This window comes from Homo sapiens, chromosome 3 (assembly GCF_000001405.40).
Source record: "Homo sapiens chromosome 3, GRCh38.p14 Primary Assembly".
NCBI lineage: Eukaryota > Metazoa > Chordata > Mammalia > Primates > Hominidae > Homo > Homo sapiens.
Genome location: NC_000003.12, coordinates 198057089 through 198081323, shown reverse-complemented (window position 1 = coordinate 198081323; position 24235 = coordinate 198057089). Strand labels below are relative to the sequence as shown.

General features: G+C 37.9%; 2 pseudogenes across 1 annotated transcript, besides 1 other annotated feature; both read left to right on the top strand.

Moving 5' to 3' along the window:
- The first annotated feature begins 630 nt into the window (after window positions 1-630).
- ANKRD18DP (ankyrin repeat domain 18D, pseudogene) lies at window positions 631-23793 on the top strand (annotated as a pseudogene). The gene is made up of 10 exons (NR_003291.2): window positions 631-1008; window positions 4036-4150; window positions 4312-4528; window positions 8494-8568; window positions 11135-11201; window positions 12008-12064; window positions 13830-13883; window positions 15518-15571; window positions 17536-17606; window positions 21963-23793. The product of NR_003291.2 is annotated as an ankyrin repeat domain 18D, pseudogene (transcript).
- Window positions 4232-4526: a silencer, noted in NCBI's record as "tiled region #12303; HepG2 Repressive non-DNase unmatched - State 21:Repr". NCBI's record gives its function as "represses a minimal TATA promoter and a strong SV40 promoter by Sharpr-MPRA in HepG2 cells {active_cell/tissue: HepG2}" and the evidence as "EXISTENCE:reporter gene assay evidence [ECO:0000049][PMID:27701403]".
- Window positions 9907-10013, top strand: RNU6-821P (RNA, U6 small nuclear 821, pseudogene; annotated as a pseudogene).
- Window positions 23794-24235: the final 442 nt, after the last annotated feature.

Below are 24235 nucleotides of genomic sequence, written 5' to 3'. Positions count from 1 at the left end.
CGAGCCAGGCAGTCGGCCCTGGGGCGGCTGCACAGGGGCGGGAACCCGCCCTCAGCCCCATTCCCGGTGGCTGCAGAGGGCCCCTGGCTAGCGGTCCGGAGCTCCGGCAGAGGAGGAGCCGAGCGGGGGCAGGGCCTGGCAGGCTCTCAGGCCAGGTGCACTCGCGATCCAGAGGCCGCCCAGGCCATGCTCCGCCGCCTGAGGGCCCAAGCTCCAGGCGCCCTCTGCCTGCTCGCAGCAGCCGCCTGGCAGCTCCCAAGCTCGCTGGAGCTCCCAGCCTCGCAGAACCGGAGCCAGATGCCGCGGCTGCAGCCAAGCCAGGCGGTCTGCCCGGCGGCGGCTGCACCGGGGCGGGAACTGCCCCACAGCCCCATCCCTGGTGGCTGCGGAGGGCCCCTGCCAGCGGCCCCGATCTCTCTTCGGAGGAGGAGCGGGGCGGGGGTCACGGCCAGGCGGGCCCTCAGGCCGGGCGGGTTGCGCGCCTGCGACTACGGGACGTCCCGGGCGAGCCCAGGAGAACCCGCAAGCCAGCGGCGCCTGCGCCCGAGCCGCAGCCGCCCCCTGCCGGCAGCGCGGGCTTGGGAGCGGCTTCCGGAGTCCGCGCGGGCGCTGAGCTGCAGGCGCGCGCCTAACGGCTTCGCGGGCTGAGAGGTCAGAGGCTGCGAGTGTCGCTGCTGAAGGCTGTGGTGGACCCGGCCGGGTCGCGGATTCTGAGCTACATCTCGGGTTTGGGGTTAGGGTTAGTGGAAAGGCCACGAGGAGCCGCGGGGGCTCAGGAGCCGGTGGTGGGCGTCTGAGGAGAAGTCGCCCCATGAGGAAGCTCTTCAGCTTCGGGAGACGCCCGGGCCGGGCGGTCCTGGGCTCCATCGACCACGAGTACCCGGGTCCCGCGTACCACACCAGGGACGCGGAACTGCGGAAGATCCACAGGGCGGCCCTCAAGGGCGACGCCGCGGAGGTGGAGCGCCGCCTGGCGCGCAGGTGCCGGGACGTGGATGCCCAGGACAGGTAGCGGGGGCTCAGCCGGGGTGGGAGGGGGTCCCCAGGCCCGGCTTCCCCGCAGCCCCGCAGCCCCTGGGACGGGGGCCTTGGAGGGCGCTGGGCACCCTCAGAGCGGCGGAGCCAAACGGAGCCTCAGCTGCGTTCCATCGCTGGCAATTCCCCGCCTGGAGCACTTGGTGGAGAAGTTGAGTGATTCAACTCACAAAGTTAAGCATATACTCGTTTAAAACGTGGGGTCATGGAGGTGCTTAATGAGAACTCATTCCCATGTCAAAAATACCATGAGTCATGTTCAGTAGGCGGAAAGTTCTCAGATAAAAGCCTGTGTCGGTTTTACATCCGAATCCACCCAGGTAGACAGGTTCTTTACTGGAGCTTCTTAGAGGGACACTTGGAAGTGGGAGGCGGGTTCCTTGAATGGGAAGACTCGGTTTTCTCAAAACATGAGCTCTTTCCATGTTTATCAGTTTTACATAAACCGAATGAAAATATCAAGGATTTATCATTTTTGCACGACATCTGCTGTCTTAATATTGTGATGACATTTAAAAATTTTTATAATGGAGTGAAAAAAAGACTTGCTCCTCTAGATATCAAAATGTGCTATTAATTCCCACAATTATTTACTATCAGCTGAAAAGACATAAATACATGGAACAGAATGGAAACCCAGAAACACTGAAATATATGTAAGATATAGATGTAAGGACTGATAATGGTAACATTTCAGATGAGTAGGAAGGGTTGAGTTGTTAATAAAATGCCTGCTCTTTGAAGAAAACTAATGAAATTTTATGTCACAAAAATGAGTTCCTGATGGAATACAGATTGAATTTTTTACATATGCAAAATGAGAAAAGTACCAGAAGAAAACACAAATGCTTATTTATACAGGTACATTTTACATTGCCAAAGGCCTTCCTAAGAATGACCTCACAAGCAGGCATTCTGAAGGTTGATTTAGCAAACTAAAAATTAAAACCCCCAGGCCAGGCGCAGTAGCTCACGCCTGTAATCCCAGCACTTTGAGAGGCTGAGGTGGGCGGATCATGAGGTCAGGAGATCGAGACCATCCTGGCTAACACAGTGAAACCCCATCTCTACTAAAAATACAAAAAATGAACCTGGCATGGTGGCACGCGCCTGTAGTCCCAGCTAGTCGGGAGGCTGAGGCAGGAGAATCACTTGAACCTGGGAGGTGGAGGTTGCAGTGAGCCGAGATCGCGCCACTGCACTTCAGCCTGGGTGACAGAGCGAGACTCTGTCTCAAAAAAAAAAAAAAAAATTAAAACCCCCCTGTGTATAAGAAAAAAATTAACAAACGATAACATACTTGAAAAATATTTACTATGTATATGTTTTTACTAATATATATATAAATAGATATTCAGATGAAAAGTGTATCTTCATCCTACAGGGAATTTACTTTTTATTATATATATTATGATATATAACTGATTATACATATAAAAAATTGTATATAATAGTGACATAATGTTATATATATCAGTTATTTATATACAGATAAAAAGCACATCTTTATTTTATAGGGAATTCTTTCAAATCAAATCCACAAGAAAAGAACTCTAAAAGTGAGCAACGTACTTTTCTGCAGATCCACAAGTTACTTATGTACATAGGAAAAAGTCCTTAGTGTTTCTCGTAAAAGAATTTAAGTTAAAAGAGGAATGAGACTCTTTTCTATCCACAATGTTTGTGAGAATAAACAGCAGTGGTACTTACACTGCTGCCTAAAGTTTAAGTTGCTGATGACTTTTCAAATAGATAATTTGGTGGTAATTACCACATTTTAAAAATGTATATGCCATTTACCTATCAATTCCATTGTATTAAAATACCTTTAGAAAATAGAGATACGTGTACTTTGTTTTTCTCAGCATTTATGTTAAAAAGAACCCTCAGAATGTGTCCTATAAATAAGTTTCAGTTGCATCCATAGGATGGAATAATATGTGACCATTGAAAGTGACAATAGATATAGAAGTATGGGAGGTTCCCTTGATGCCAGGAGTTTGAGACCAGCCTGGGCAACAAAGCAAGATTCCTTCTACAGGTTTTTTTTATAATTAGCTGAGCATGCTGGTGTACTCTTGTGGTCCCAGCTACTCAGGAGGCTGAGGCAGGAGGATCACTTGAGCCTAGGAGTTCCAGGCTGCAGTGAGGAAATATATGAAATATATGTAATATACCATTAATATATGAAATATATGTAATACACCATTAATATATGAAATATATGTAATACACCATTAATATATGAAATATATGTAATACACCATTAATATATGAAGTATATGTAATACACCATTAATATATGAAGTATATGTAATACACCATTAACATATGAAATATATGTAATACACCATTAATATATGAAATATATGTAATACACCATTAATATATGAAGTATATGTAATACACCATTAATATATGAAATATATGTAATACACCATTAATATATGAAATATATGTAATACACCATTAATATATGAAATATATGTAATACACCATTAATATATGAAATATATGTAATACACCATTACACTCCAGCCTGGGCAACAGAGCAAGACCCTGTCTCAAAAAAAAAAAAACCAACAATCTAACAATTATTGAGTTGTTGCTTGTTCTAGAAATGGTTCTAAATACTTTACATAGATTCCCATTTAAGCATCACAATGGTGTCCTGTGAACTAGCTGCTATTGTCATCTTTATTTTATTAATGAGGAAAATGAGGCACAGAAAGGCTAAGCAATACCTGGTACGTGGCTGAGTTCAAAGTAGAACTCAAGCCCCAGCTGAACTGAATCCAAACACCAAGCTCATTCTGTCCAAATAGGCTGCTGTTTCATTAAGGGAGTGAGCAGTAAGAGCTAATAAATGTACTTTCTTCAAAAGAAAATTATTTGTTTTGAAGGCAGAGGAATGCTCTTCAATGTTTACAATGACATGAACCATTGTAGGTTTTGAGATACTGCACTACAATTTCCTGAAAACCCCTCTCACTCTCCTAGGACTGTTCTACATTTGGCCTGTGCCCACGGCCGTGTGCAAGTGGTCACTCTCTTGCTGAGCAGAAAATGTCAGATCGACATCTGTGACAGACTAAACAGGACGCCTTTAATGAAGGTATACAGCAGCCAACTCTCTCAGCACGAAAAAGATTTCACTAAATACATAGAATTAAAATGAATGTATCTCATTTAAATATAACTAGTTGGTGAAACCTGTGGAATATGTATTTTGAATTCTTAGAATTTATAGTCTAAGTTTTCATCTAACACTGACAGGCTGTATATTGCCAGGAAGAGACGTGTTCCATTATTCTGCTGGAACATGGCACCAGTCCAAACATTAAGGACGTCTACAGCAACACTGCTCTTCATGATGGTAAACATTGAGGATGTCTACGGCAACACTGCTCTTCATGATGCTGTCTATGATAAGGGGACTTCACTGGCAGGAAGCCTGCTTTCCCACCATGCAAATACTGAAGCACTAAACAAGGTATAGATCAATCAACTTTCTTTTCAAAATATTTGTTTTAACATTGACATAGGTAAGAGTCAATTTTTCATATTTGGATGATCAGGCATTCCTGAATGAAAATATTTTGAAATAGCTTAATTGTCTCAGGTTTTACTTTAAATATTGATACTTTTAAAGAAGCATTAGAGGGCACAGCTTGTTTAGTGCACTTATGGGAAGTATTTGTGAATTTGTTAAGGTAAAACTTCTTCAAGTATTTGTTTCCTACCCCAGGTGTATTTTTTTTTCTAATTACGTAAAACACACACACACACACACACACACACACACACACACACACACACACACGCAGACACAGGAAAAGAATTTACCCTGGAAATAGGCTTTATCTTAAAACTCAAAACAAAACTGAAGCAACTTGCAATAAATGGAAATCTTGCTGCTGCTGACAGTTTTCTCAAAAAAAAAAAAAAACTGATGTGCCTTTCAGTGGCAAAGTTTAAGAGGGAAAAATGGGGAAGGAAAAGGAGAGCAATCAAAAACATGTAGGTCACTTGGAAATTAGGTAATGAGGAAAAATGCTAATAAGAGGTTTTGTTTTTTAGTTTGTTGTTTTTCCAGTTTATGTATTGAGACAAAGTGCTCTTCAGCTTTGGGGTAATTATTTTTGGTTTGGTAAACAAAGTGATTGAAACTTGCTTAAAGATTAATTTTTAGAGGACTCTGAGGAAACCAGATTGGCTGTGAATAGCTGGTGATGCAGTGAGAAACACTTCAGCAAATGATCGAACGAATTAGTGACTGACTTATTACCCATCCTGGCAAAAACAGCCACTTAGCCAAGAGTCCAAACTCTCCTCTCAAATCTAGAATGTCTTGGTGGGAAGGTAGGAGATAAGGAGCTTATAAATAGCAAAATCAAGTGGGATTTCGAGTTTACTTGTCCCTGTTCTACCCATAGCCAGGAAAATTAACTGGAGTGTTAATAAATAACTCTATCTCATACTCTTTTCTCTTTTTGGCCACATCCCAAGCTGATAAAGGATATTGGTGGTGTGGGTGAGTGATGAAAGTGAAGTGATTGTAGTAATTCTCAGCAGTAGTAATTCTCTGCAGTAATTCTCAGCTAGAATTGTGCATTACAGTGACCTGGGGGAATTTTGTTAAAAGTGTACAAATGTAGGCTTTCCCCTGAAGATTTTGATGTAACTGAGCTAATAAGGTCTGAACAGGTATGGTTAAAAATATTTTCTTGAAGCCGCACACAGTGGTTTGTTTCTGTAGTCCCAGCTACTCAGGAGGCTGAGGTGGGAGGATTGTTTGAGCCTAGGAGTTTGAGTCCAGCCTGAGAAACATAGTAAGACTCTTGTCTCTTACAACAACAACAGAAAAAAAAAACACCTCAGGGTTTGAATACACTCCTGATTGAGAACCACAGAGTAGGTAAGTGCAGTATATAAATTCCCGTATCTCAAAAACATAAGAAATCTCTAAAAGAGTTGGCATTTGATAGGTGCTACTTTCTTCAAAGTTCTCCTTTCCAATAATGTTAGCCTGACTTATCTTTCTCTACATTTGTGACTGGAAAGTAAAAGGAAATATTGCTGGCAATATATCTCAGCTTACAGAAACACACCTTTTCCTTCCCACCAGGAATCATTCACTGCCATTCAGAGAGCCTTTAGCAATTTGCTTGTGGGTAATCTTTCAATAGGTAAAGCCTGACCCTTTCACAATTTCATGTTCCTTTGTCACCATTCAAGTGATTATGTGTCAACAAATGTTCATTACAAGTGAAATTTTCTCAATTAGATTAGTAGCAAATCCTGAACCGTTTTTTTTTTTTCAGTTGAAATTGTATTATGGACTATGTCAGTATGTCTGTTAAGTTTATAGAGCTTTGGCACAATCAGGATGTCAGTTTTAAACACTGAAATCCATGAAGTCGGTGAGAATACTATAGGAATTCTTTTAATAAGTTAGTTTCGGCAGTCTTATGATCTAATTATCTATTTGGTTAACAATCTGGGAAAATAATATACAAACAGATTTCAAATGAATAAATTTTGGGAAAATTCTTCAGGTGGGTATTATGAGTCTTAACAGCAATTTTTATTATATATATATCAGGGGCTGATTTTTATATAAAACACATGATACTAGAGACAGAAAAAGTTTCACATGCAAATACTTGGTTTATACAAAATCATTTAGTACACATTCATGGAAACTATAAATACACAAGGGCTATAGTCTAACTGTGGCACATAGATTTGTTCATTTGCCTCTTTAAGTTGAGTTAGCATGTGAAATTTAGTAGACTCATGCAGAAATCTGGACCTCAGGCCTGTCTTAAGAATCAAATCTGGTGTCCCCGGAACCGCATCACTGCTTGGTCTGCTGTGCAGAGGTTGCCCTGTGTAGGAGGCACAGATTCTCCAGTTGGCTTCTGTGCCCACCTGAGTACTTCACTTACTTAGGTCATCTCCTCATCCTTATAAGTATTTGAGTTTACAACTCCTGTTTTATAGTATATTTTCATAAAGATTTCAAGATTTTCAAGACAGTGTATATTGGTTTATAATATATAGTCTATAGTTTATAAATCCCTCAATTATGGGGTTCAAGTTTAGAATTCAAAAGTTTTTTTTAGCTCTTTTTTATATGTATACCACAAGTAGTCATCTGCTCATAAGAATGCCTGGAAGCCTTTTTAGGTTATTCCTGGTGAGAGTTGGCTAGTTTATGAATATTGCAAACATTATGTCATGCTTCTCAACAATGTCCCTTAAAAATGCAAGTGACTTATTGGCTTTTATTATGCTAGAAATAAGCCATATACATCAATATTAAAACTTTTATTGATAAGCCATTGTAATTTTATTTCTGATTTACATTTTGCCTAAAGTAAAAAAAAAATGTTAAATAGCAATTTGAATGGAAACCAATACAAATGGATTTAAAAAGTAAAGTTGCATTAGCATCCCAGGGTTATCATTATAATTGAGAATAAAATTTCTTACTGAGCTTTGCTTTTTTAATATTTATTTTCAAACACTTTTAACCTGTCTCTCTTACACAGAATATACTGAGCTTTCTAACAGTTAAGATAAAAATCTATCCTCTTGTATTAGGAGAAATCCCATGGACTATTTAATAATAATGAAAATAAGTGCATTGAAGCCAGTCTCTCTTAATTCAGAGCTCATTTCCTTAGTGACCCATTCGGATCAGGAGTGCCTGACATTGACATTGGATCCTGACACCATTTACAGAAGTAAATCAAGCAAGTTTGTACCACCCAGAGGAAACCTCCACCTGAACTGGGAAGTTCTGGCAACTGTATCCCTGAAACTCTAGTTCCTAAAATGTTAACGTTTGCCACAAAAAGTATTGTCAAATTGGAATTAGGCAAAGTTGAAGGGATTTCTTGATTGTTGACCATATAATACAGTTTTGTAATACTTCTCAAATGCAGGTGATCATGGCATCTTTCTGTTGGGGTACAGTTCTTCTGGTAAAACAAATATTCCTTGGAAGATAGTTTAAGAAACACTGCTCTAAAGATAATAATTTTCATCATTAATTTATTTTAAAAACCTAAAGCATTTGCTACTATGTATTAGGTTTTAGGGTTGTAGAGAAAAAGGACACAGCCCTTGCCCTCAAGAAACTCTTGGTTTCAGTGGGAAACAGTGAAATAATTACAACATATTGTGCTAAATGCTGTGATAGAAGCAAGGATTTTCAGGACTGGTAAATAAAGTCAGTTTTGGAGATGATCAAAGTTAACGTGGGGAGGGAGAGGAGGGGTGTTTGCAAGGCAGTGTGTGGGAAAGCACAGAGGAGTGAAAAGGAAGGGACTGCTCCGCATTTACTTGCTATATTGTAAGTTTAAGTTCATAGCATCATATAGGAGATTTTTAGTTCAATTGAGAAATATGTAATTTTGTGAATTGCACATTGTTTTTGCTTTCTTACAGGAGGGAAATACACCACTTTTGCTTGCTGTAATTTGTAAGAGACAGTAAATGGTGGCATTTTTAGTGAAGAACCAGGCAAGTGCACCTGCTGTTGGTGATTAGTCCATTGTTTAGCCAGAAATCACACAGAAAGCTAGACTAGTTAGAAGTAGCAATGAGTGCAAGATTCTTTCAGGACTTTTAAAGACCTTTATCCCCAGGGATCTCAGTGTTCATTTTATTCCAAGTATAACCTTATATATAACCTTATATGTGAGATATAAATAACGTCACATTTTTACTTGTTTTTCTTTCTTTCTTTCTTTCTTTTTTTTTTAGACAAGGTCTCACTATGTTGCCCACATTCCTGAGCTCAACTGATTCTCCTGCCTCAGCCTCCCAAACTGCTAGACACCATGCCTGGCCTGACTTTTCTAATTAGTTATTGGGTCTTGAAATGTCCAGTTTAGCAGAAAGTCTTGGATTGTCCCCTGGGGCTATCTCCTATGCCTTCATCCTTTGAATTTTTCAAAAAGCTAAGGGGTTCCCTAAGTCCAAGGAAGACAATCTTGCTTTACAAGTCAGAAGATAGGGGGAAAAGGCCATTCTAAATATTCTGTTTCCATTGATTCACTTGTATTGCTGCCATTGTAACTGGTCCTGCGATCTGGTAATGACTAACCTTTGCCACCAGGATGCCTTTACTGATTCAGACCTCTCACTCTTTGTGGTGACTCACACACAGAGTTCACAGCTACAGTGATGCCTTTACTGATTCAGACCCTTCAGTCTTTGTGGTGACTCACACACAAAGCTCACAGCTACAGTGTTTTTTAGTTCATGTACATATGCTCAGCCGTTGTTCCCAGCACACTGCTCTGGCAGCGAGGCCTCCTGGCTTTACCCACACACATAGTGAGTAAATTGACCCTCCCCTAACACTAAAAACCTTATTTGTTGCCCACCTCTTAGCTAGGCTTAGCCTAGACCTTGATGGTAAGTTATCCTTTGAGACCTGTATTCATCTTTTCTCTAGCAAATGTTAGTTGGGATTGTCTTCAGCAGTCAGGGACATTCAAATAATGTGGCAGGAAGAGATCAGAGGTCCCTTTCCCTTTTGTTATCACGTCTGTACCTTGAGGCTTTTTTCTGTCCTGTGTAGCAGCTTTTGTTAGATAGCAGAAGGTTCCACATTATCCTGCAATAGAGTAGTGGGCACCAACTTGCAGTTGGCCCCTCAAGTAACATGTTTCCATAACAACGAAAATCTCTCAGGCTACTTGCATCTCTACCCCAAGTTTTTAAAATATTTAAAAATTCTACCTCACAGGAAGTCATTCAATAGAATTATCGTATATAAACTAGGTAATTTGGATTTAACAGAGCTAAGCCTCATCCATGACTCATGAGTATCCATGTATAAAACAGGGCTTTATGCTTGTTTCAGCAGCGTATATTCTAAGATTGGATCAACACAGAGCAGATAAGCATGGCTGCTGCCTAAGGATGGCACACAAATTCAGCAAGCATTCCACATTTTGCACAGTCCCCAGAAGGTCATTTGACTATTTGTTAACTAGCTCCAAGGAAACAGTGCAAGTCAGACCAAAACAGGAGACATCCAATATTGAAATTGTTGTTACTGTTATTATAAAAGTATTCACGTAAGGTGATCTGTGAAATGAGAACAGCGCTGAGTAACATATGGGATGTTACATGCAAACATGTTGTTAGTCCATGACTTGGAAATGAGGAAACGTCAACTTGCATCTCTTTCATGGAACCGAAAAACAAGACAAGCAGGTTTTGTCTTGTATGTCAGTTGGAGAGGACCAAGAAGACGCAGCCTCTAACACAGACCTGCTGGCTCTGAGTTTGAGGAGGTAGAGAAGGAATGGTAGTTGTCCAAGCCAGGTTTTGATATTTATTAGTTTTCTGCCCTTGGTGTGATTGATGAGCTCAGTAATAGGGAACAATTAGGTAATCTATTTTAATGAGATAATAATATATTTATATATAAATTTAGTTACAAGTTATGAATTAGCTAAAATGCTCTGAACTACAAGCCACAATGAATAGAACTAATAACCAAAATTAGCACTTAATAACATTTTCTGAAAACTGTGACATTCAAATATTAGAACCTATGAAAAAACACCCATCAGGTTTTGAGATTCCAAAATTGTTTCAGCAATACAGTTCAAGAATAAATTATTCCATTGCTTTACTATTTCTCTGAATATTTAAACATGTTATCTCATTACATCCTCCTAACAGCCTAGTGAAGTAAGGTAGTAAAATCCTTATTTTTTAGAAAAAGCCATGGAGCCTAAGAGAAGCAACTGGTCTGAAAACAAAATACCTATTGGTTACAAAGTGAGGACTTATTCTGAGTGCAGGACACTTTCCAGGATGTTAAGCTAACTAGAATTAATTTACTGAGCTATGCTTCTCTCAGTTTATGAGTACTTCATGTTTTTCTTCTTTAATTAGAAGCTTAGTAAGTTTATAGAGCTTAAAATTTTAAAGTGTATAGGACATTAGAGTTCTGATATTAGCTCTGATATTGTCTGAAATGCTTTAAGAATTTAACATAGTTGGTAAATATTTTTCATGTCACTATTAAAATAGTAATTTTATTTATTACATTTATTATGCATAGCATTCAACAACAAATTTTGGAACCTAAAAATAAGTACTTTAAAATCATCTTCAAAATGACAATTAAGGTAGGACTTCTTTTAGTAAATTTCTCATTTCTCTTGGTGGTCTTATTGATTTTAAAAAGTAAGATTACAGGCCAGGCATGATGGGTCATGCCTGTAATCCCAGCACTTTGGGAGGCCAAGGCAGGTGGATCACCTGAGGTCAGGAGTTTGAGACCAGCCTGGCTAACATGGCAAAACCCATCTCTACTAAAAATACAAAAATTAGCTGGGCATGGTGGCAGGCACCTGTAATCCCAGCTACTCAGGAGGCTGAGGCAGGAGAATCACTTGAACCCAGGAGGTGGAGGTTGCAGTGAGCTGAGATCACACCACTGCACTCCAGCCTGGATAAAAAAACAAGACTCTATCTCCGAAAAAAAAAAAAAGTAAGATTACATAGTTTTAATCATAAAAGAGCAGTTTAAAATATATATGTATATACATTTTTTAAATTTAATTTATTTAGTTTAGAATTCAGAGTTAAGAAGTTAGTTGTAGCTAATTCATAATCTCACAGTATTGTCTGAAAACAATGCATTTACCTACTTATGTTCCCTGAAATTCGACGTGATATTTTTGTATTAATATAAATAAGAAATTAGATTTTTAAGTTAGTATGTTGTATTTTCCTCTATAATCACATTATTACAAATTGGACTTTTGATGCAAATGGATCTTCTATTTAATTTTTATAATAAATGGTTTGTATTTAGTAAATAAATATTAATTATAGTTGATTCTTGAATAATGTGGCAGTTAGGGGCTCTGATCCCTGTGCAGTTGAAAATCTGAGTATAACTTTGACTCCTTCTAAACTTAACTAATAGCCTACCATTGACTGGAAGCCTTGCTGATAACACAAGCAGTCCATGAACGCATATTTGGTATGTGCTGCATTGTTATATACTATGTTTGTACAATAAAGTAAGCTAGAGAAATGAAGCTGTTATAAAGAAAGTCATAGAAAAGAAAAAAACGTACTTACTATTCATAAGGCAGAAGTGAGTCTTCCCAAAGGTCTTCATCTTCATCATCTTCAGGTTGATTAGGCTGAGGAAGAAGAAAAAAGGTTGGTTTTGCTGTCTCTGGGTTGCAGAGGCAGAAGAAAAATCTACATATAAGTGGGCCCCTGCAGTTCAAACTCTTGTTGTTCAAGAGTCAACTGTATTACACAGGAATTTGTGTCACTAAGAAAGTAACTATCTTTAGAACTGGGAACTCAAAAATCCCTTTCTGATACCATAAACAAATGGCAATAAGGACCATAAAACTGAGCCAGTGTGCACCCATACAAATAGGAGATTATTTTTGAAGATACCTATTGAATGCAGAAGATGGGAAAGTAATTCCTTTACAAGAAGCAGAAGTTATGTTACATATTCTTCTACAAACAAGGTCTATTTTTTTCCTCATTCTCCATAGGTTGGAACCTCATGAGATATATTCACTTCTTAGAACAAGCTGTTTTTAAAAATGTGCTGGACAATTATCATAATAATATTAATTTTGTTAGAACAAGAGACTCTGTTACCAGGCTGGGTATGGTGGCTCATGCCTGTAATCCCAGCACTTTGGGAGGCTGAGGCAGGTATATCACTTGAGGTCAGGAGTTTGAGACCAGCCTAACCAACATGGTGAAACTCCATCTCTACTAAAAATACAAAAATTAGCCAGGCATGAGGGCAGGCACCTGTAATCCCAACTACTTGGGAGGCTAAGCCAAGAGAATTGCTTGAACCCAGGAGGTGGAGATTGCAGTGAGCTAAGATTGTGCCACTGCACTCCAGCCTGGGTGACAGAGCAAGACTCAAGACTCCATCTCAAAAAAAAAAAAATGCTCTGTTACCATTAGGCAAAAGATGATCTTAATAAATATTCCATTAGCCAAACTCTAGGCTCAAAAAATTATAATAAAATTATAAAAATGGTTCACAGTACCGGGAGGCGGAGCTTGCAGTGAGCCGAGATCCCGTCACTGCACTCCAGCCTGGGCGACAGAGCGAGACTCCGTCTCAAAAAAAAAAAAAAAAAAAAAATGGTTCACAGTAACAAAAATATAACGCCTAATGCATTGTACAATCTAAACTGTATAAAGGCACCATTAATTTAGTACATATTTATCAAACTACTTCTATAAGTTAGGTTTGGCAAATTGCAGCAGACAAAGATGGAATTGAATAGTTTTTGTCTTTAAGGTGCTCATAATAGAATACAGATAACTATTTAATTTTTGTGTTTTTTAACCAGAATTTTTAAGAAAAAATATTTTAATTCATTCATACATTTTTCCACTTAAAAAATAACTATCATGTGTCTTTAGTGGACTAAGCATTTTTCCAATGTTACAAAATACATTTTAAAAATACACTTAGGAGATTGTGAATACCATTGTCATTTATTTTATTTACTACATTATGTAGTGCTTACTGTGTGTCCAATGTCATCTGGGAGCTTATTGTTATAATTTATTATGTATGCGTTATGTTCAGTATGTGCCAGGCACTTTTACATTTGTGGTGATGAATGCAAGCTTCTAAAATCTGGGTCAGATTTAGGGTAAGCATGCAGAGTGAGTGGAACTTTGCCAATAAGGAGGCAGAGGGATGATGCTTGGCAGAAGGAATATCTAACAAGTTGCATGTTTGACAGAAGCAGCAGCCATGAAGAACGAAAGTTTTAGAAAAGGAGGAGCAATTTCAAAATGTAAGACACCTGAGTGAGCTTTGTAGCGTTTGTGAGCAGTTCAAATTTACTAGTGCAAAAAAAGTGTATAGGAGTGGTTGGCAATGAGGTGGAAATAGTTTACAGTTATTATTTATTATGTTCAGTATGTGCCAGTGAAGGCAAGCTTAGCAAAGACTTTGTTGTTGTTGTTGTTTGACCTGTGTCTAGAAACAAGTTTAATAAAAGACTTTTAATAGTATAGAAATGAGTAGATCTTATCCTGTAGGCCAGGGGAAACTTCTCAGGTAGAATGCTTTTGGCTGTAAATACTAGAAGACCTAACTAACCGTGGCCAAAACCATAAGAACCAGACTTGTTTTGATTGTCCAGTGATATAATTGGGTCCCACTTGTTCCTCTTTCAGCTACAATGTTGGCAGTATCTTGTTCATTTCCCCTTTCATGGTTGGCTACTTAGCAACAGCTCCAAACATCGTGTTCTCACAAGGGCTGCTTTTCTTCACATGTGTCTATTAAATTGGGAGAAAACCCAGAAGTATGCAGGGGACTTTTTGTAATTTTTTTTTTTTTTTTTTTTTTTTTTTTTTTTTTGGAGACAGAGTCTCGCTCTGTCACCAGGCTGGAGTGCAATGGCATGATCTTGGCCCACTGCACCCTCCACCTCCGAGGTTCAAGCGATTCTCCTGGCTCAACCTCCCAAGTAGCTGGGACTACAGGTGCGTGCCACCACACCCAGCTAATTTTTGTATTTTTAGTAGAGATGGGGTTTCACCATGTTGACCAGGATGGTCTTGAGCTCTTGATGTTGTGATCTGCCCACCTCAGCCTCCCAAAGTGCTGGGATTACAGGCATGAGCCACCGTGCCTGGCCCTTTTTGTAATATTTTATTGGCTGGGTCACACCACATGCTCATTCCTAAACCAGGCACTGGGAAAGCAAATGTGATTAGCTTAGAATAATCATTTCTCTTTTAAAGCTGGGGAGGGGTATTGGGATAATAAATATCCAAATAGATTTGTGTTTCTCCAGCAAGAAACAATAAGGAACTGCTCTTGGATAGGGAGCCAGCAGTGTTTGGTCTAGAAATTCATTGGAAAATCGTGAGCCGGGGAGGCATTAGATTAGATTTGAGAATTAGGGCATTCTGTTCAGGGATTGGCATGCTTTTTCTGTAAAGGGCCAAGTAGGAAATATTTTAGACCATGTGGTCTCTCTCTGTCTCTTTTCAAGAAAGATTTAAGCAGCTGAAGGCCATGTGGTCTCTGTTGTAGCTACTCAACCCTGCCATTGTGTGTGAAAGCAGTCACAGGTAGCATGTCAGTGAGTAGGCCCAACTGTACTCTCATAAAACTTTATTGAGAAAAAACATATGGTAGGCAGGATTTGGCCTGTGGTCTGCAGTGTGCTGACCCCTTATGTAGAGGATTGATGGAGGATAGATGTCACCTGGGAGCGTGTAGTTATTATTTACTAGGTATTTATTATGTTCGTGAGATGCCATCCACCTTTAAATTTGTGGTGATGAGCACAAGCTTCTGAAACATGGATGGGATTTAGGGTAAGCATGCAGAGCGAGTGAAACTTTGCCATGTAAGGAGGCAGAGGGGTGATGTTTTGCAGAAGGAATATCTAACAACTTGCACGTTTGACAGAAACAACAGCTATGAAGCCTGCAAATTTGTAAAAAGGAGAAGAAGGTGCAAAAGGTAAGACACTTATGTGTCTCTACTCTTAACCATGTAAAGCGACTGGGAGACAAGGGAAGCTTCAGCCATAATTAATGCTATAGTTGCCTTGTCACAAATCCATGGAGTACATATGTCTTATTACAAGGTTTTCACCCATCCATGATAAAATAAAATGATGGAGCTCCAGTTTATTCATTTGAAAATATTGGTGTTGCCGGGAATGGTGGCTCCTGCCTGTAATCCCAGCAGTGTTAGAGGCTGAGACAGAAGGATCCCTTGAGGCCAGGAGGTCCAGCAGCCTGGGCAACATAGCGAGACCCCATGTCAATTTTTTTTTTAATGTTGCTGGGTGTGGTGTTCTGCACCTGTAATCCCAGCTACTTGGGAGGCTGAAGCAGGAGAACTGCTTGAGCCTCGAAGTTTGAGGCTGCAGTTAGCTATGATAGCAACATTACACTGTAGCCTGGGTGGCAGAGTAAGACCCCATCTCTGATAAAAAATAAAATCAAATAAGATAAGATAAAATAAAATGTTGGTCTTTTTCTTGGAATTATGCTTTTTAAATTTATTTTGCTTTTAAAAAAAATTTAAGAAATGACAATAATAGTTGGTTTATATAAGGCTTTCAGAAACTGGCTTCTGCCCAAATCTCCATCTGCAGCCCCTTCTCTGTCTGCTCTTTTTTCTGGCATTACTGAGCTGCTGGTAATGCCCCCATCACCATCCCTCTCATGTAGAAAAATATACTCTGGGAAGCTTCTCTCCCTCTCTTGCCGCTGCCTGGCATGTGCTACCTTTCCTGCCCTCTGCCTCCTTTAATCTGGTAAGCCTCTCTGTCTAAGTCTCAGCTCAGGCATGGTCTCTAGAAAAGCCATCCCCGATGGCTTTTATTCCCGTTATTGAAACCCCAGTGCCTACCACTTAGCAGGAACTCCATGAATATCTAGTAAAATCAAGACTGTTTATACGAAGATGATTGCTACAGTCTAGCAGCAAAGGGGATAGACATGCAAAGACATGATGTGCAGTTCAGATGGTGGAGTGACACTAGAAAACTTGACAAAGTACTAAGGGAGCCCCAAGGAAGGAGACGCCTGTGTACGTGGAGAAATACAGCCAGATTCAAGGAGGACTTCACATAGCATTCTGAGTCATTTTTTCTTTTTTCTTTTTCTGTTTTTAGAAACAAGTTCTTACTCTGTCACCCAGGGTGGAGTGCAATGGCATGATCGAGATTCACTGCAAACTCAAACTCCTGGGCTTAAGGGATCCTCTCACCTCAACCTTTTGAGTAGCTGGGACTACAGGCACACACCACCATGCGTGGCAAATTTTCTGTAGAGTCAGGGCTTCACTATGGTCTCCAGGCTGCTCTTAAACTCTTGGCTTGGAGCAGTTCTCCTTCCTGGGCCTTCCAAAGTGCTGAGATTACAGGTGTGAGCTACTGTGCCCAGCCTACATTCAGAGTCTTAAAACACGAAAATAAATTTGTCAGAATAGTAGAGGAAAACATTTCAGATGTAAAAATCAGGATATACACTAATAAAGGTATAATGGTAACAAAATTTTGCAAATTATTAGTAAATAACAACTCACTTAGCATGTTGTTGAAAAGATACTATTATGAAGTAGAGAATAAAGTATTACTTTATATGTTTTTACTATATTTTTAAATTTTACTTTGTTTCCAGCAGTTTTGCTTATTTATTTTGCGTGGAATAATTTGTGGGTGACCCTGAGACTTTTGCATGGCTTGAACCTGCTGATATCTAGTGTCTCCTTAAGTGGTTTGTTGAGGTTTTAGATAATTAGAAGTATTTCTTTAAAATGTAAATATTCCAGTAAACATTAAGCTTCATTTAAACTCTCCATTTATAAAATAAAAGTATATGTTATTTTGTATCCATTTTTATAAAGATTATAGTCTTTATCTAAGTGTTCTAAGTCATTCATTTTAACTAAACATATGGATTTGTCTGCAGAACACGACTTAAAAGTGGCTTCAGAGGAAAAGCAAGAAACGCTTGAAAGAAGTGAAAATAAACAGCCAGAGGTATGTAACAATTTAAATTTCTGGTTTAATATTGGTTGGTTGGTTTTTCTTTAATAACACAGCATAGTCCAAAAGAAGTGACCTTTTAGACTGTCCTTTTAGAATCCAACAGACAGATCATAATTTCTTACTTAATTTTAAAACATTTTAGCCAGTTATAAAATTTAAAATATCCTTACAGTCTGCAGTAACTCATAGCTATCTGTACCCTTGGAATTGAGGCCAGAAATTTCCAGAAGTCTCTTTGCTCTTTTACTTTTATAAGCTTCTTCATGACAAAGAAAGTAACATCAAAAATTGAGTTGTATTACTAAGCAAGAGAAATTATGAACAATTTAACAGTGATGGCCACTGAGTTCAACTCGTGTTAAAGGAGTCATCGTTGCTAGTGGTTCAGACTCTGCAGTTTTATGTTGCTGGTCACCAGTGCTGAGGTTAAAGACTTCTTCTGTTTTTTGGTTTCTGGTTGCCTTCAGTGTCTTTGTTCAGGGAGAGAATGGGGTCATAAAATCAACCCAGCTGCCTATTAAGAGAATTATGACTTCCAGAATGGGACTTTGGTATCAGGGTACAAACAATAACCTTCTTATTTTAGTATAAATAGTAAATGTTATTAAAATCTTTTAATCCATTGTCACTAGTGGGACTTAGAGTATATTAGAACTGGATATAAGTGGATAATCTATCTAGATAACACTCATATTACAGTATAGCATTTGAAGTAGAATCTAAAAATTTTATTCTCTTTCTGATTGGTGTTCATTTTGGCTTCTAATAGTTTAGCATTTGCCTACTCTCCAGTTAATCTTCAGAAATATGAATTTACTGTAGGGGTTCACTATTTATGGTATCCTGAGGTCAAAATCCTTTTAAGAGAGAAAGCCTTTAGAATACTACATATCATCTGTGAGCCCATTTCTGGCAGATTTAATTCATAATGAATTAAGTTTAGTCCAAACTAACAGTGAGAGTTAAGCTTGCTGGTTCATGTTTTTCTCCTATGTTAAGCCAAGGCAAACTATTTTTTACTTCTTAGTTATAATCCAGTAACTTAGGGATAGCAAAACATAGATTAAGTTTTACAGTTACATTTTAATTATTTTCTATTTTTTTATTCATACTTAATTCAGAATAAAGTTAATTTTAAAACATGCACCCTAACAGAAAAGACATCTGAGAAACAAAACAAGCAAATTAATTTTCCACTTTTGCACCTGCAAAAAAATGTCTCAAGAACCAGAACTGAGTAAGAATTGTGATAAAGAGTGTTTATCTGTATATTCAGGGCTTCCTTTAAAATTAATTACAAGAAAGTTCAACTGAAAATTGGTGAAAGTTTTGAAAAATCCAAAATTACTGTTTGTCCTGAGGAAGAGCTCTTACATAGTTACTCTAAAGAGGGACAAAATTAAAGGAAGTGCCCTCTAACCCAATGAATCATGTCCCTGACTGCAAGGAAGCAGATGCATCTTGGAGTGTCGAACTCTGTAGTATCCCAGGCATTGCCTGAACAGGAGGAGAACATCACAAACCTGTCTTTTCATTGTATTTATACTCTGGGTCCCTCAAACACACCTGCCAGTCATCTTCTAAGCTTTATTCAAATGAAAATAAATCAGACTGTAAAACTTGTAACTATCCAGACATGTAGCCTGTTTCTCAGAGATGAAGAGAATTGTTGTAATGATACAGAAATAGAAAAATTAGGGAACCCAGTAGTTATGGTTGAAATGAAAGAGGACCAAGAGTTTGATATGCAAATGACAAAAAAATATAAACCAAAATACCGTTAATTGGAAATTAGACATTAGACATTGGCCTCAGTCTAGAGATCCAAAAAGTCTGTTTGATTTGTGGTTTGTTTACTCTAAAGAAATGAAGCATGTGATACAGATAGAAAGCCACAGTATTTCTGCTGTTACAGACACTTACAAAAACAAAAATCCAGTAAGCACTTGTTCCACAAGCCATATGGAACTTAGAAGCTCTTCTAAAGCTTAGAAGATGACTGGCAAGTATGTTTCAGGGAGCCACATAAGACAGTTCCACTGCTAATAGCTATAAAAGCATGAAACCTGCATGAGAAAATGTGAGTTATTCTCCACCCCATAGTGACAGAACATCAAAAGCATATCTAGAAGAAGACTTACAGCAAGATATGCAAAGGCTTAAGAATGAGGTGGGCATGTTACAAGTAGAGTTCCTGGCTTTGAAGAAAGAAAGCTTAACTATAAAAAGAAAGAGGTTCACTTGCTGCTTCTCTTTTTATAAATTATCTGATTCATTCTGGTTTTCTACTCAAGAAAATCTCATGTGTCTAGTTACAGTGTGGTTATCTAAATGCATAATTATGTGTCTAAGTAGATCAGTGCTGCTATCTAAATGACAGTTCTGGAAAACACTCTCATAATCTTTGTTCATTAGTCAACCTGAGTCTCACTATCAGTCTTCCAAGTGGCACATGGGCTGGGAAAATAATTTAGCCATATGCCATGTGACCTTCTGAATCAGCTAAACATAAAGAAAATTGCTAAAGAAATAAGCTCTAGATTCTTCTTACTGTATTCATTTAAAGATGACTTACATTTATTTAAATGATAAAATGGTAACACGATGGGAGGGAAACAATGACTGAGAAGAGACATGAAAATGTATCTAGCCTGGAGACTTGTAACAAATATTATCAGCCAAAGGCGTCTGTTTAATGTGCTTTCATGCATGCAAGTTTATTTGTCTGACTCAAGCTGTTTAAACTTATAATTCCATAATGGCCATTTTAAATATTTTTGGAAACAAATACATATACTTTTGCATATTTAAAAAAAATCACCACTCTCCAATGTTTCTGTTGAATCACACTTTTACATTATGTTGTTTAATAAAATATGGTAAGTTTTGACATGTATGATTTTATCATGTAAGTAGCATAACTTCTCAGCCAAATATTTATCATTTGACTCTATAGTGGAAAGCTGAGTTCTGTACATTGTGTTCTAAAGATAGACAAAAATCTAGAGATTTTCTTAAAAGCAGATGAGGCCTCCTGCCATCCTCTGAGGCATTAAATTGCTTTGCCAAAGTCACGCTTTTAATTTATTTGACTAATTTGATATATTTATCTGGTAATTTATGTAATGCAGCAATATGTAATTGTATCTTCCCTTTTGGTGCCATGAAGTGCTAGGTAATGCCACCTTAGGAGCTTTGGGTGAATTATTTAATATTTATTGGTTTTACTTCTATTATCAAGTAGATAATGGGGCTAGAGTAGACAACTATTCTGTATATCTTCCAGCTATAAACTTTTGTGGTGATTGAATGTAAACTTGGGGAACATCTCATTTTCTAGGATTCTGCACTAGCAACTCAGCAGTGTCACTCTGCTCCTTGAGTTGTGGTAAACTTTGGTTCCTCTATTTCAGTGAGCACCTTCACTTTTTTGATATCCCAGGATCCAAGTGAAAAAATAAGGATAAAAGACAGTGGGGAAAATAACAGCTTAGTGCAGAACAGGGAAAGCTTCTTTTCTGTTTCTGAAGCCCCACAAGGTCACCTCCTCTCAATCTGGCTATTTCATGGAGAATCCAGGTGACAAAGACAGAAGACACATTTTATGTCTGTGTCTTTTTGTTTCTCTGTTTTTGTGTTGATATATTTACACCACAGAAGTAACTGTGATCTGGTGGAGAACTAGAAGTAGAGTCAGAAGCCCTGGGAACATCCTGCAGCTTGCTTATATTTTTAACCTCTCTTTTTAAGAATTGTGATAAGAAATTCATCAATGTATGTACGTAGAAGTGCTTAGTACAATGTCTAGATTTATGATTTAGTAAATGAAATTCTTATAACTGACTAAAAATGTTGAGTCAAATCACAATAGAATATTATCAGGGAAACAGAACTTCTAAAACTTTGAGAAATTTTATCGGTCCAAATACACGTGGAGGTAAAGCTCTTACTACAGGGTGGTATCTGGGTTAGATATCAGAGTATAAATGCAATTTCCTTTTTCCAATATTTTAATTTAGTCAAATTTGTTAATATTTTACTTTATGCTTTGAGTTTGTTGTAATTCAGAGAAAGGCTTTTCCAATTCTGATATTCTTAACAGTTCTCTAGTGTGTATGTGTGTGTTTTTAGTTTTATGGATTCATTGACTTCAAATAAAGTTTTGAACTTTTTGAAATTTATGCTCTTTAAGGTTCAAGGTTTTGCTTCAACTTTTTCTCCAGTTGGATATCCACTTACAGCAACTTTTAATTGCATGAATGTACAGGTTGTTCTTTCACTTCAGAGATAAACATGATATGTTATTTTATTGAGTGCTAGCTGAAAATTTCTTTTGTTTTATTTAAGATTTTCAAAGTTATAGAAAAAAGAAGGATGTGATATATACAAATTGCATATTGAAGGGAGATATTGCCACACTCAAACAGGAATAATACACAATAAAAAATGACAGTGTCAAAAAGGAAAAGGAATATATTCAGGAAATTAAGAGTATTAGAGAAATAAATGCTAACTTTGAAAAAAGTGCAAGACTCAATGAGGAAATGACAACAAAAACGATGTCCCAGTATTGTCAACAGCTTAATGGCCTCAAAGCTGAGAATACAAGGCTGAATTCAAAATTGGAGAAGGAAGAACACCACACAGATGGACTGGAAGCTGAAGTTGAATTCTTCCATTCTAGGCTGGCTGCTGCTATAAATGAGCACAATGAAAGTTTAGAAACGAAAGACCTAGAACTTGTTTTACAGAGAGCACATAATTTTTCCGTACATAAAAAAATAAGTTCTACTGTTTCTCAACTAAAAGATAAAAATGAGTTGCTTACTGAACAATTTTCTAAAGCTCAGATGAAGTTCAATACCTTAAAAGGTAAGCTCCATGAGATAAGAGATGCTCTCAGGGAAAAGACATTGGCTTTAGAAAGTGTACAGATGGACCAAAGGCAAGCACAGCATCGAATAAAGGAAATGGAGCAGATTCATCCAAATGAGGAAACTAAAGGAGTCGATCCACCGGAAAGCACAACTGTGTAGAGGAGAGACTATGTCAACTAGAATGTGACAGTCTCTTGCTTCAACGACAACTAGAGGGTGCTCATAAGGAAGGCAATGATAAAGAGATAGTAATTAATATCCAAGGAGGCTGTCTTGAGAGTGGAAAGATCTTCTAGAAGAGAAAAATAAGAAACTAATGAATGAATATAATTCTATAAAAGAAAAACTGTTTCAGTATGTAAAAGAAGAAGGAGAAGTAAGTATGAAGAAAGATAAATATATTTAACCTTCCAGAAAGAAAATTTAAACATTTCATTGTGGCTATATGTTGAATCTAGTTCAATATAATAATAAATAGATGAAAATGTATTTACCATACTGTATAATTCCATTAACATGAAACATCCAGAAAAGACATGTATAGGGACAGAAAGAAGATGAATGTTTCTGTAGGGCTGGGGCTGGAAATGGGTCGTGACTGCTGATGGGCATGAGGGATCATCCTGGAGTGATGAAAATGTTCTAAAGCTGGATTGTAAAGATGACTGCACGACTGGTAAATTTACTAAAAATCTTTGAACTGTATGTTAAAACAGATAAATTCTGTAGTATGTAAATCATATTTTAGCAAAGCTGTTTTAATAAAAAAACAAAAAAAATATGTTTACTGTATCAGCTTGGAAACATACCTTGTTTCCAGGAAATAAAAGGTAGAGCTGACAGATGCTTTCCTTTGAGTAAACACATTATGTCACCTATGAAATTTTAGTAGCTACAGAGTAATGTTCATACAGTATGTAGTCTTATACTGCTGAAATAATAAATTTAATGTCTTTATGTTGTCACATTTTAAGACCATAATGAAGCAGATAAATTGATATCTTGTACCTGAAATAAGTATTTTGAAATTAAGATTCAATTAAGTGAGCCACTTTGACACTTAATTCTAGATTTCCCAGATGAACTGAAGTGTGTTGCTCTGTCTTGTGGTGCTTTTCCTTCAGTGGCTCTTTTATGTATTTTAGTTGGCATAACTTTATTTTGATTCATATCAATGTGACTTAAGTCTGAAAATATGTCAGTCTCACATTATGTATTTTTCTGACCACTTAATATTTTAAAGACATCTACTTGTTATAAAATCACAATTTGGAATAAATGTGGTAAATTTTAGCAAAAAATATTTGATTTAATGTTCCCACTGGTAGGTATTTATAATTTACTTTGAATATTTTTATTAATAATTAGCTCATAATTTACATTTCAAGTCTCCATGACTGTCATTTGGATATAACTTTGTCCAGTACAAAGATACTTGTAGCTGTCTGTGATTTGTGAGTTTGACATTGAATCCCCATTTTCAGACTAATGAGGGGTGGCAGAGTTCATGTAGAGTGGGAATGAAGTGAGTATGGGACAGAGTTGTAGGAGCTGAGCTCAGGGAGGGAGGTAGAGGCCATGTTATCTAGGGACTTGAAGGCCGTTGGAATTTTACTTTTACTCTGAGATAGGAATCTGTTGGAAGGATTTGAACAGGTGACTGAATGTGTGAGGAACTCAGGTTGAGTTGAGGGTCTGAGATGAATGAATAGTGGGCTGAATCAATCTGTCATGTAAGAGAAT